The sequence below is a fragment of the Homo sapiens genome, chromosome 12 (genome assembly GCF_000001405.40).
Source record: "Homo sapiens chromosome 12, GRCh38.p14 Primary Assembly".
Taxonomy (NCBI): domain Eukaryota; kingdom Metazoa; phylum Chordata; class Mammalia; order Primates; family Hominidae; genus Homo; species Homo sapiens.
The window spans coordinates 6,637,669-6,649,354 of NC_000012.12; the positions used below are offsets into that span (position 1 = coordinate 6,637,669).

At 51.8% G+C, this 11,686-nt stretch overlaps 1 protein-coding gene across 1 annotated transcript, besides 3 other annotated features; it reads right to left on the minus strand.

Annotated features, from left to right (window-relative positions):
* Nucleotides 1–406: 406 nt before the first annotated feature.
* Nucleotides 407–9,764, minus strand: ACRBP (acrosin binding protein). Its single transcript, NM_032489.3, has 10 exons — nucleotides 9,656–9,764; nucleotides 9,126–9,344; nucleotides 8,815–8,909; nucleotides 7,552–7,669; nucleotides 6,469–6,937; nucleotides 5,871–6,003; nucleotides 2,675–2,854; nucleotides 2,392–2,559; nucleotides 1,286–1,369; nucleotides 407–736 (listed from the first exon to the last, which is right to left on the minus strand). The coding sequence occupies exons 1-10, from the start codon at nucleotides 9,696–9,698 to the stop codon at nucleotides 614–616; spliced, it is 1,632 nt and encodes a 543-aa protein (NP_115878.2). The 5' UTR covers nucleotides 9,699–9,764; the 3' UTR covers nucleotides 407–613.
* Nucleotides 1,169–1,228: an enhancer, noted in NCBI's record as "active region_5872". NCBI's record gives its function as "activates an Ori minimal core promoter by ATAC-STARR-seq in GM12878 lymphoblastoid cells {active_cell/tissue: GM12878}" and the evidence as "EXISTENCE:reporter gene assay evidence [ECO:0000049][PMID:35858748]".
* Nucleotides 9,185–9,698: an enhancer, noted in NCBI's record as "H3K4me1 hESC enhancer chr12:6756019-6756532 (GRCh37/hg19 assembly coordinates)". NCBI's record gives its function as "activates a minimal SCP1, AML or CMV promoter by ChIP-STARR-seq in naive H9 embryonic stem cells {active_cell/tissue: H9 hESC(naive)}" and the evidence as "EXISTENCE:reporter gene assay evidence [ECO:0000049][PMID:30033119]".
* Nucleotides 9,622–9,691: an enhancer, noted in NCBI's record as "active region_5873". NCBI's record gives its function as "activates an Ori minimal core promoter by ATAC-STARR-seq in GM12878 lymphoblastoid cells {active_cell/tissue: GM12878}" and the evidence as "EXISTENCE:reporter gene assay evidence [ECO:0000049][PMID:35858748]".

Below are 11,686 nucleotides of genomic sequence, written 5' to 3' on the forward strand. Positions count from 1 at the left end.
TTCCTGGTTTTTCCCTTCCTGATTAAGTGCAAGGTGCACACTCCCTATACCCCAGGATTGGTCCCTTTGGAAAAGATCTCATCAGGCTTTGGCCTTTATCCTACAGAGGAACAATACTACACTCGCATCTGACATCACGGGGCTTAGGGCTTCAGAAATGAAGACAGGTGCCCACATGCCCACATCATCCCTAGGGCCCCAGCCTTCTTGGCCTTCCTCAGTTCACCTCCCTGGGTTCTCAGGTCTTCTGCTTCTCCTGGCAGATGGCTGCTTCCCTGAGCACCATTCCCATGAGATTCTCTCACCGGCAGGTGGATCCATAAAACCAGGGGTTGGGGACTGACTGCCACGGGGCAGGGTAGCAGTGCTGAGGATGGGGATCATAACCAGAACAGGCCACACAGGCTGAAGATCAACATTTTATGTAAAGTCATCTTTTAAGGAGGGCGCAGCTCCCACCGTGGCCCTCTCTGGGACTGTTGCTCCAACCCAAGGAAATGTGAGTAGGGGCCGAGTAACAGACCCAGAAGGGGCAGCCTGAAAGCAATGGGGTCTCAAAACAATAGAGAACGTGGGCAGGTTGGGCTGGGGTGTGGGCAGAATAGACGCCAGCTCATCCGAACTGGCCTAGAGTCAAGGTGCTGAACTCCTGGCTCCATCGAAGCACAACGTCCTCACTTTTGCCAGGGCTCAGCGCACTGTAAGTCTCATTCTGCAGACATCTCATGCGGGACACCTACACAGAGATTCAGTGCAGACGGTCTGTATCACAGAGCCAGGTGCCAGGAGTGGGGAGGAGGGGAGGTGTCAGAAGCCCAAAAGAACGAGAGGTGGGCAGGCATGGGCACAGGGCAGTAGAGGGAAGGAGGAAACTCAAATGTGGGTTTTTAAAGCCAGAGGAGACATCAAGCAGCCCAACCCCTTTCATGCAGAAACAGGCGGCTGAGGCTCAGAGGGGGAAGTGCCTCATCCCAGGCTACTTGGTGAGTAAGAAGAGGAGACAGACCGAGACCTCAACGTCCAAGTCCTGGCCCAGCCAAGGGTTCTTCCTGTGGTGCTCTTAGGACCCTCCTCTGTTATCCACCAGCTGCCTAGGAGGGCCTTGCTTCCGCCAGGACTGGAGGAATGGAGGAGAGCCTGCTGGTGGAGGCCTCTGCCCCAGAGATGCAAGCAGGAACCGCTTTCCACATCCTAGCTGCTCGCAGAGGGGGCCTCAGAATAGACCAGTTATGGTGACTGATTGAGGGGGTGCTGGGAGAAGGAGGGGCAGGGCAGGGGTGCTCACCTTCCGATTGCGGTTTCTCATCAGACACTGCTGGCTTTTGAAGGAACAGTAGTTTGGGTACTGGATATAGTCTGTGTCACAAATCTAAGCCAAGAGCCAGAGAGAGGGAAGAGGGTATCAGAAGCCTCACCAGGCAGCAGCACTCCAGGGAATATCTGCTAGGGCAGAGCCAGGGGCAGGGTGTGGCCCAAGACCCAGGTCTTCCACACACAGGCGGCCCCTCACTCCGCTTTCCCTCTGCCTTTCCCCTGCCGCTCTGTCACAGGTTGCTGGGAAGAAGCCAGGAGCCTGGGAGAGTATGAGGCTGCCAGTCAGCTTACTGGGAAAGTGGCTGAGGAAGCGGGAATGGGGCAGGACGGGGTAGATAAGGGTCCAGAACATGGGACAGGGACCCGATTAGTGGCCTGATGTCAAGGATTTTTCTGGTAATGGTAGATAAGGGAAGGGGGAAGTGAGTCACTGCCTTCTTTGGACCTCGCCTCCCCATTCCAGATCAAGGGGCCCAGGGACAAGAGCTGGACATGGGCCCCCCAGCTCAGCTACCAGCCCTTGCTTCAGCTGCCCTTACTTTTCCTTGCCTTGGTTTTCCCTGCTAACTACAGGAGGAGAGGCCTGGATCTAAAACAACAGGTCATTCCACAGGGGAGGTAACTCAGGGGAACGGGGAGCCAAGTTGATTTAATTGAGCAGGGAAGGCACTGGAAGAGCTGGGAAGCCCGTCAGGCTAAGGCCGGGAAGTCCTGGATCACAGGGTTGGGCAGTGGTGCACGTGTCACTCAGTCATTTCTTGTAGAGATGACTCTTTGATTGAGTAGGAAGTGACTTGATCACAGCCACCCAGCAAGTAACTGGCAGAGTTGGGACCAGAACCTCTAGCTCCTGTTTTCTCAGCCCTCTGGGTCCCCACTCCTTTGCCTGCTCTATTGGTGGAGGGTGGGGTGGGGTGCAATGGTCTCTTGGAGAGAGGCAGGAGATTCAGTGAGGACGGGTTCTCAGAAGCCAGGGGCCCAAGCCCCCTTCCACAAACTAGCGCTACTCACAGCAAGTAACTGGAAGGAATGGGGTGAGGGTAGGGATGGGGCTGAGCTTTGGGGAAAGGTTCTAACCTTGGTAGGGAAATCCCCATCCTGGAAGCTAAGGAACTCAGTCTGGAGCCACCCAGAGACTCGGACATCTTCACAGCCTTTCGTGGCAAGCCGGGCACACCAGAAGTCCATGTGGAGCCCACCGTACAAATCCAGCCCGTAAAAGCGGCCTGATTCTGGGGACCCTACCTGTGGCACAGGAGATAGGGGAGAGGTGCGTGCCCCTCCCCACCTGCTGGCCACCACCACCCCACCCCTGCCACCCAGTTCTGCCTTTCCCACTGCGGGCTGCCGGGCTAGATACCTGGTTGCCGATGGACAGGCTCTGGGAGGCAAGCAAGGGGCTGACAAAGGGAGTCTTGTGGGAGGTGTCGCATTGTTGCCGCTGCAGGCTGGCCTCTGAGTGGCACTGCTCCAGCTTCAAGGAGCAGAAGTCACAGAGGGCACAGGTAGACATGTGTCGCCGCCCAAGGCTGTCACAGACCTGGGGCAGGGGAATGGGTGAGGCTGAAGCTGAGAGTCAGCGGCCTGCCTTCTCCCATGCCTCAGCCCTCCAGGGTGGGCCCTGCAGAATGTCTTTGCATTTAGCCTCTTCCAAAAGCTTCTCTGGGTTTTCTACTTGGCCTCCTCCCCAAGGGTTCCTCAAGGACCTTGCCTCAGCTATTTCTTCACCCTCTTCCTGGATGATTTATCTACTCCTAGGTAATCATCTATCTGCGAGTGACACCCAAATCTTTATCACCAGCTCTGATCTCTCTCTTGGGCTCCAAATCCTCATTGCCAAGTGCCTGACAGATGTCTGTGATTGGGTGATCTTACAGATACCCCAACTTAGCCTATCTGAAAAGAACTCATAACCCTCCCCTGCCACCTCTGCTAATGATAATGCTAATATTTACAAAGAGGTGACCCAGTGCCAGCACTATGGCTACACATGCTCTCATTTCATTTAGTTTTCACGACAACCCTATAACAGCAGAGATACTAATATTACTCTCATTTACTGACAAGGAAACTGACTCTCAGTGAGGTTGAGTAAGTTGCTCAAAGCCACTTATCTAACAGATGGGGAAGCTGGGACATGGGTCCAGGTCCTTCCAACTCTAAAACCTATGCTCTATCCAAGTACCTGGGTTGGAAACCTCCAAGTTCTTGGAAGCTATTCTTCAGAGTGGAGTTACCAATCTCCCAGCTGGGTTCTGCCCTCAGCTTCCTCAGCACTAGCAGGAGATCGTACTAAGCAGTATCTTTAGTCAATCCCACGGTCCTCCTTCCTCCCCCATGGGCACAGCCTGTCACAGTGCATGCAATCTCCTATGGCACCTTGCCTGCTCCTCCCACATAACGGAGGCATCATGTCCCTGGCCAGAAATCTTTATTGGATTCCCCTTTCCTATCAAATTCAGTGCAAATGCTCATGTTGCCATTCAAGAGTTTTTGCGTCATGACCCTGTTGATCTCTTTGACTCTGTCTCCTGCTGCTCTGCTCCAGGTAAAAGGGACTCCCTCCTTACTGTCCTCTTATCTAAGCCATCAAATCCAGTGAGCTCCCTCCATAAAACCCTGAACTTCTTGCATTTTGTTTAAGAACCTCACCGACCACACTCCCTTTGTAATATTACTGTATCCATATTAACTCCCTCATGGGTTCTTGGCCCCTTAAGAGCAGAAACAGTATGCTCATTGTTAGCATACTAATTTCACTCATGAAATTTCTACCTCTTCTTTGGGCCAGGCACGGTGGCTCATGCCTGTAATTCCAGCTGAGTGGAAGTGGCTGAGATGGATTCCATGAGCCCAGGAGTTTGAGATCAGCCTGGGCAACATGGCGAGACCCTGTCTCTACAAAAAAATACAAAAGAAATTTCTACTCTTCTTTGCATCATAGCCTTTGCACATACTATTCTCTATCAGGAATCTTCTACCAAGCCCCTTCTTTTGCCTGGATTCACTTCTTTTATCTTCAGGTCTCAGTTTAAACATCAGTTCTTCTTGGAAGCACCCTCTGATCCTCCCAAACATGGAGAGTTGTCCCCAACCCACCCCATCTGCTCTCTGTACTTTGTGCCTATCCCTGCTACAGCACTGATCCCATCACACCATCCTGCATATTTCCTTGTCTCTCTCCTGCCCTAGATTCCAAGAGGACAGAGGACTGGCTCTATTGCACATACTGCTAACATCTTAAATATCTAGTAGAGTTTGTCCCCAATCAGTATTTTTTTTCATGACAAGATACATCTAAGTTTTATTCTAAGAGTTTTACAGGCACTTTTAGGTCTTACATTTAGGTCTTTGATCCATTGTGAGTTAATTTTTGTATATGGTGTGAAACCCTTAAGTCTTTAAATCATCTTGAAATGTTTTTTGTGTATCTACTCCTAGGTGATCATCTATCTGCAGGGGACACCCAAATCTTTGGGTGTAAGATAGAAATTCAATTTCATTTTTTCCTCATGGTTAACCCATCATTCCAGTACCATAAATGGGAGTTCCTCTTTTCCCACAAATCAGTCACAGAAAATCTGTTTCTGGGCTCTGGGTAGTCTATTTGTCTGTCACCATCCCAATTTCACATTATCCTAGTTACTTGAGCTTTATAGAAAGTCTGGATTTATATAGGACAAGTATGCTCTACCTCATTCATTTTTATGTTATTCTTGTCCTCCCAATCAGTATTTGTTGAACAAACAGATGAATGGATGGTATCTGAGCTCTCGAAAAATGTTTGCTAAATTGTATTATTTGTGAAAATCTAAGGTATATTTTCCTGGGAGTAGACTTGCTGGTTGTTGAGGACACATTGAGACTGGAATCTCTTTACAGATTCCCTGGAATGGGTTCTATGAACTCTCTGGAAAGAAGAAGAGCTGCATCTAAGGCAAAGCTAGGAAGATGGTGAGGTGGATCAAGAATCAAGAGTTGACTCAAGGCTGGGCATGGTGGCTCATGCCTGTAATCCCAGCATTTTGGGAGGCCGAGGCAGGAGGATTGGTTGAGCCCAGGAGTTCTAGACAAACATGGGCAACAAAGGGAGACCCCATCTCTACAAAAAATAAAAAAAAATTTAGCCAGGCATGGTGACACATGCCTATAGTCCCAGCTACTCGGGAGGCTGAGATGAGAGGAGGATCACTTGAGCCCAGGTGGTCAAGGCTGCAGTAAGCCATGATCGCACCACTCCCCTCCAGCCTGAGTAATAGAGTAAGACCCTGTCTCAAAAAAAAAAGGAGTGAAATCTGGAAGCCTGGCAACTCAGGGAGGTGAAGAGGTGAAGAATGAATTCTGGACTGGATTGCATTTCAGACTGGGTCTTGAGCCTTCCTCCTTTAAAGTGGACTGGTAATGCCCTTCCTAAGAAAAGAGTCCCACTTGGAGAGAATCTCTCCAGCTATGTCTCATGCTTCTCCTGCCCATCCTCCACTCCCATAGCCTAGCACAGTGCCTGGCCAAGAGGATGCCCAGTGGCATGTATCCATTAGACAGTATGGCTGGCATACCGACTTCCCGAAACCAAGGATCTCCTCCTCCATGTACTTCCAGGCCTTGGCTGTGGGGGTTATGATGCAGGTATTCTCCACGATCGAATAGCACAGCACCAGCAAGGCCTCTGTGTGGGGCAGCTGCAGGAGGCTGCAAGAAGACAGCACTGAGGGTGGGGCTGGGCCAGGTGGCCCGGGCAGGAAACTACATCCAGTCTCTTCCCCTTCCCTTAGTGTCTGCTTTGGTCACACACATTCAGCATGCTTAGCATGGGGCCTTAGAGGCCTCTGGACAAATCGCCTCATTTTTCAAATGAGGAACTGAGGACCCGAAAGGAGAAATTACTTTCTCAGGATTGCAATGCTAAACAGGGCAGAGACAAGACCAGAACCCAAGTCTGGTAGCTCCAGGTACAGGGCTTACATAGAGAATAAGCATTTGAGCAGTGCTTAAGCCAACAATGGGCACAGAATTGGTGAGGCAGTTGCTAGCTGTGCCTGAAGTCCAGACAGGTCTGAGTGGATCTGGAGGCTGAAGCTAGGAAAATGGGCTTCTCACTCCCAAGAAAGGCAGAAGGGAGGGCAGGGTGGATGACAGAGTCAAAACTTCCTATACCTGCCAGGGTTTTGGTTTCTCCAGTAGGAGTTCTCATCATATATTTCATTCATTTCATCTATTTCCTGGGCTGATCGAATGAGCTCCTGGATGTTCTCCATTATCATAGGAGTAGACTCTACTTCTCGTACCCGGGGAGCAAAAGAGGAAGGGTTAGAAGATAGAGATTCAGAGTGAAACTTGGGCTCTGAGTCTGTCTGCAGCTGAGACACAGCCTCCCGTCCCTCCTTAGTCCCCTGTCCTTCTTCCTGCTTTCCCTCCTCTTCCTGTTCCTCTTCTTGCTCTTCCTGTTTCTGCCCCTCTTCCTGCTTGTGTTCTTGTGTCGGCTCCTGCCTGTGCTCCACTCCTTGCTCCTGCTTGTGCTCTGGCGCTTGCTCCTGGCCTCCCAGGGACAAGGAGGATTGTAGGAGCTCTTCCACGTTGTTGCTGAGCCTCTCAGGCCAGGGCTGGAAGGTCTGGCGTTCTGTCACTACAGCAGGGTTTAGAGAGAAGGGAGAGAGACAGTCAGGCTTCTAGCCCCTGAGTGTCTTTGTTCACAGAGGGACACACACATAAACAAAGCAGACCAAGTCACACTTATACACACAGAAAAACACAGAAAAGAACATAAGTATTAAACTAAAAGAACATTACCACGGCAACTGTAAGGCTGGTGGTATGCATCACCTTCCCACCTCCCTGGCAAGCACTCCTCCTTCCCTAACTTCCACCTCAAATACCACCATTTGTCCCTCTCCCTTAGGAAACACCAAGTATGCTGAGTAGCTAGCAGTCAATCCTTTCTAAAGTGAAGACATTAGCTTATAAAGGGCCTAGAGGTCCTTTGTAATGCAACAATGTCTCTGGAATTGGGAAAAATGGATTCAGGGCAAAATTGTAAGTAATGGCAGAAGAGATTCTGGTCCAGGAGAGCCCTAACTTGTATTCATAAAAAGCTGACACTCCTTTGTGTAAACAGCTGTCTGCTGGCGCCCCCTTCCCGCCCAACATGCTTCCCATTTCCCTGCCATGGATGCCTTACGTTGTGGGCTCTGGGAGTTGTGGGAGTAGCTGGTGGTCTCCCGGCTGCTGAGAGGGTCTCACCTGTGAAGTGGGGTGAGATGGGGGAGGTCATCGTGGTGGGTGAGACTTCAGCTGAAGCTTCTATCTCCTTGAGAGTGTTAGGTGAGAGAATAGAGACTGGCTGGGAACACAGGACTCTCTGCAGGAAGAGAAGGAAAATGGGAAAGCCTTTCCTAAAGGGCAGACTTCTGCTCCAGCTGGTTCTTCAACCCCTTTTCCAGCATGTCTTATCTCTCAGTTTCTAGGCAGGGATAAAGGGACATGGTCCCTGCTGGAACCCTCTAGACCTGAGAAAGGGTCCCTTCAGAAGATGAATCTCTGTTTGTCTGGGCCACATCCCTGCCGTCACTTTTGCATTTGACTCAAAATCACTGACCTGTTCGAAGAAACGTAAGGGCTTATCTCTTTGCCTCTTCCCATCCCTCTTCCCTACTTCTTTTTGTTTGGGTTTTGGGTTTGTTTTTTTTGTTTTTTTTTTTTGAGACGGAGTCTCACTCTGTCACCCAGGCTGGAGTGCAGTGGCGCGATCTCGGCTCACTGCAAGCCCCACCTCCCGGGTTCACGCCATTCTCCTGCCTCAGTCTCTCGAGTAGCTGGGACTACAGGCGCCTGCCACCACGCCCAGCTAATTTTTTGTATTTTTAGTAGAGACAGAGTTTCACCGTGTTAGCCAGGATGGTCTCGATCTCCTGACCTCATGATCTGCCTGCCTCGGCCTCCCAAAGTGCTGGGATTACAGGCGTGAGCCACCGCACTCGTCCCTGTTGTTGTTTTTTTTTGAGACACAGTCTTGCTCTGCCACTCAGGATAGGGTGCAGTGGCATGATCTCGGCTTACTGCAACCTTTGCCTCCCGGGTTCAAGCAATTCTCCTGCCTCAGCCTCCCGAGTAGCTGGGATTACAGGCGCCCATCACCAAGCCCGGCTATTTTTTTTTTTTTTTTTTGTATTTTTAGTAGAAACGGGGTTTCACCATGTTGGCCAGGCTGGTCTCGAACTCCTGACTTCAGGTGATCTGCCCATCTCGGGCTCCCAAAGTGCTGAGATTACAGGCATGAGCCACCATGCCCAGTCTCTTCTCTACTTTTCTTGCAGTAACAGAATTGTTCAATCTGAATATCCAAGGTGAGACTGTATTCATATATAATCTGGGTAAATGACTGGCAAAATGGCAGGGAAGGAGGAGCTAAGGATGACTCTCCTGGAACCCTTCCTCAACTCCCCACTGCTGCCGCCTCTCCCTTGGCCCTGGGGCACCAAATCCAACCTTTGTCCTGGGCCTCACCTTGGCATAGTAGACGTGGTTGGAGCAACGGTAGTGAGTGAACTGGCAGAAAGACTCAAACCAGGAGGCATAAGGGAGGTTGGAGCAGACAGCACCTGAGAAAGGGCAGGGGTGGAGAAGATGAACCCGTGGGGAGCTTGGGGTGGGGCTGTGGGCAATGGACTCCACGCCATGGGGAGGGTGGAGAGTACGAGCTCATGGTGTGGTGCCAGCCATGCCCTTCCCCGCCTCACATGAGCACAGGGGTTTTTGCCCTGAGGTTTGGGTGAACACTCTGGGTGCCTCGGTTTCCCCCCTAGTCTGGCCCTCACCATCGGGCACTAAGCCGTGGTTTTCATATTGGTCCAGCTGGACGAGTGTGGGATTCCGGCAGCCGTGGGTTGCACGGAGACGGCAGGTAGTCTCTGCCTTCCAGGTTGGAGTCAGCAGTGCGAAGAAGCGTTCGTATTCGGTAGGAGAGAGAGGGCTGCCTGGAGTGGAGGCCTGAGTCGAATCCTGGGCTGCGGCAGGTGCCAGAGGCAGGAGCAGCACTGCGGAGCGGGCGAACGGATGATGGAAGGACCGAACCCCAAAACCCGCTCCGAGACCAGGACAGACAGACCCAGACTGGCAAATTAGGAACGGGGTGAGGGTTATCCCTGCTGACCAGGGCGGGGGGAGTCTAGAGACAGAGGCAAAGGTCCGGCCGCGGGCGGGGGGAGATGGGAGTATCCCAGGACCTAGGGAGCCGACCCAGCGCGACCACCATGAGGAAGCGATCCAGAAACCGTAAAAGCAGAGCTCTCGGGAGGGAGAGGACTAGCCCGGGGAGAGTCTGTTGGAGCAGGTGTAAACCTCTCACCCTTCAGGAGTGAGGGAAGGAAGCCAGCGGCTGGCTTCCTCATGGCCGGAGAAGATCCGCCCGCGTCCCGTGGACACAAGCCGCCTCTAACGGGCCAAGCCGCAGAGAGAGCCGCAGGCGCGGGGCGGGGCGCACGCGGGCACCGCCCACGCGTCACAAAGAGCGGGCCGGGGCGGGGCCTCGACAGCCGGGCTCTCAGGGCCCTAAAGTGGCCAGAGCCCATCCAGATGGTAGGAATGGCAAACAGCTACCTTCACTTAGCGTCTTTTTCTTTTTTTTTTGAGACGGAGTCCTACTCTGTCGCCCAGGCTGGAGTGCAGTGGTGCGATCTCGGCTCACTACAACCTCGGCGTCCCAGGTTCAAGTGATTCTCCTGCCTCAGCCTCCCGAGTAGCTGGGACTATAGGTGCACGCCACCACGCCCAGCTAATTTTTGTATTTTTAGTAGAGATGGTATTTCACCATGCTGGCCAGATGGTCTCGATCTCTTGACCTTGTGATCCGCCCACCTCGGCCTCCCAAAGTGCTGGGATTACAGGCGTGAGCCACCATGCCCGGCCTAATTTTTGTATTTTTAGTAGAGACTGGGTTTCACCATGTTGGCCAGGCTGGTCTTGAACTCCTGACTTCAAATGATCTGCCCACCTCGGCCTCCCAAAGTGCTGGGATTACAGGTGTGAGCCACCGTAGCCAGCCACTTAGCATCTTTACATGCACTACCTTACGTAATTGCCATAGGAATCCCATAAGGTAGATACACTATCATTCGTTTTACAGATGAGAAATCGGGGCTTAGGGAAGCAACTCGCCCAACAAACAGGTCGTGAGGTCTAGAGCTAAGCGCAGGCAGAGATAGAATGTGCAAAACCAAGTCAAGGCCTATCTGGGTAGGAACTAGACAGGGCGCCTCCATGAGCAAAATGGGTCCAAGGGGAAAACAAGAGGGTGGCTCAGTGGTCTACGAAAGTGGTTTCCAAGGGAGAATCGAGTAAGACAGTCCACTGAGGTATGGGAGGAGAACTTTTGCTTTTGTATCTGTTTTGTGTTTAAAATGAGAAATTCCAGCCTGGGCAACAGGGCGAAACCTCGTCTCTACAAAAAGTACAAAAAATTAGCCAAGCGTGGTGGCACGTGCCTGTAGTCCCAGTTTCTTGGGGGGCTGAGATGGGAGGATCGCTTGAGCCCATGAGGCCAAGGCTGCAGTGAGGTGCAATCGGGCCACTGCTCTCCAGCCTGGGTGACAAAGTGAGACCCTGTCCCCACCCAAAAGCAAAAGTAAAAAAGAAAAATAAAACAAGAAATTGTCTTGGGCCAGACTTGGTGGCTCACGCCTGTAATCCCAGCATTTGGGAAGTCAAGGCGGGTGGATTCCTTGAGCCCAGGAGTTCCAGACCAGCCTGGGCAACATGGCGAAACCCTGTCTCTACAAAAAATACAAAAATTGTCAGGTGTGGTGGTGTGCGCCTGTTGTCCCACTTACTACTTGGGGAGGCTGAGGTAGGAGGATCACCTGAGTCTTCAGAGGTCAAGGCTGCAGTGAGCTGAGATCTCACCACTGTGCTCCAGCCTGGGTGACAAAGTGAGACCCTGTCTCAAAAATAAAATAAAATAAAATAAATTAATAAAATAGAGACCAGGCACTGTGGCTCATTCCTGGAATTCCAGCACTTTGGGAGGCCAAGGAGGGTGGATCTCTTGAGGCCAGGAGTTTGAGACCAGCCTGGCCAAAATGGTGAAACTTGGCCGGTGCGATGGCTCATGCCTGTAATCCTAGCACTTTGGGAGACCAAGGCAGGCAGATCACGAGGTCAGGAGATCAAGACCATCCTAGCTAACACGGTGAAACCCTGTCTCTACTAAAAATACAAAAAATTAGCCAGGCGTGGTGGCATGTGCCTGTAGTCCCAGCTACTCGGGAGGCTGAGGCAGGAGAATTGCTTGAACTCGGGAGATGGAGGTTGCAGTGAGCCGAAATCACGCCACTGCACTCCAGCCTGCATGACAGAGTGAGACTCCATCTCAAAAAAAAAA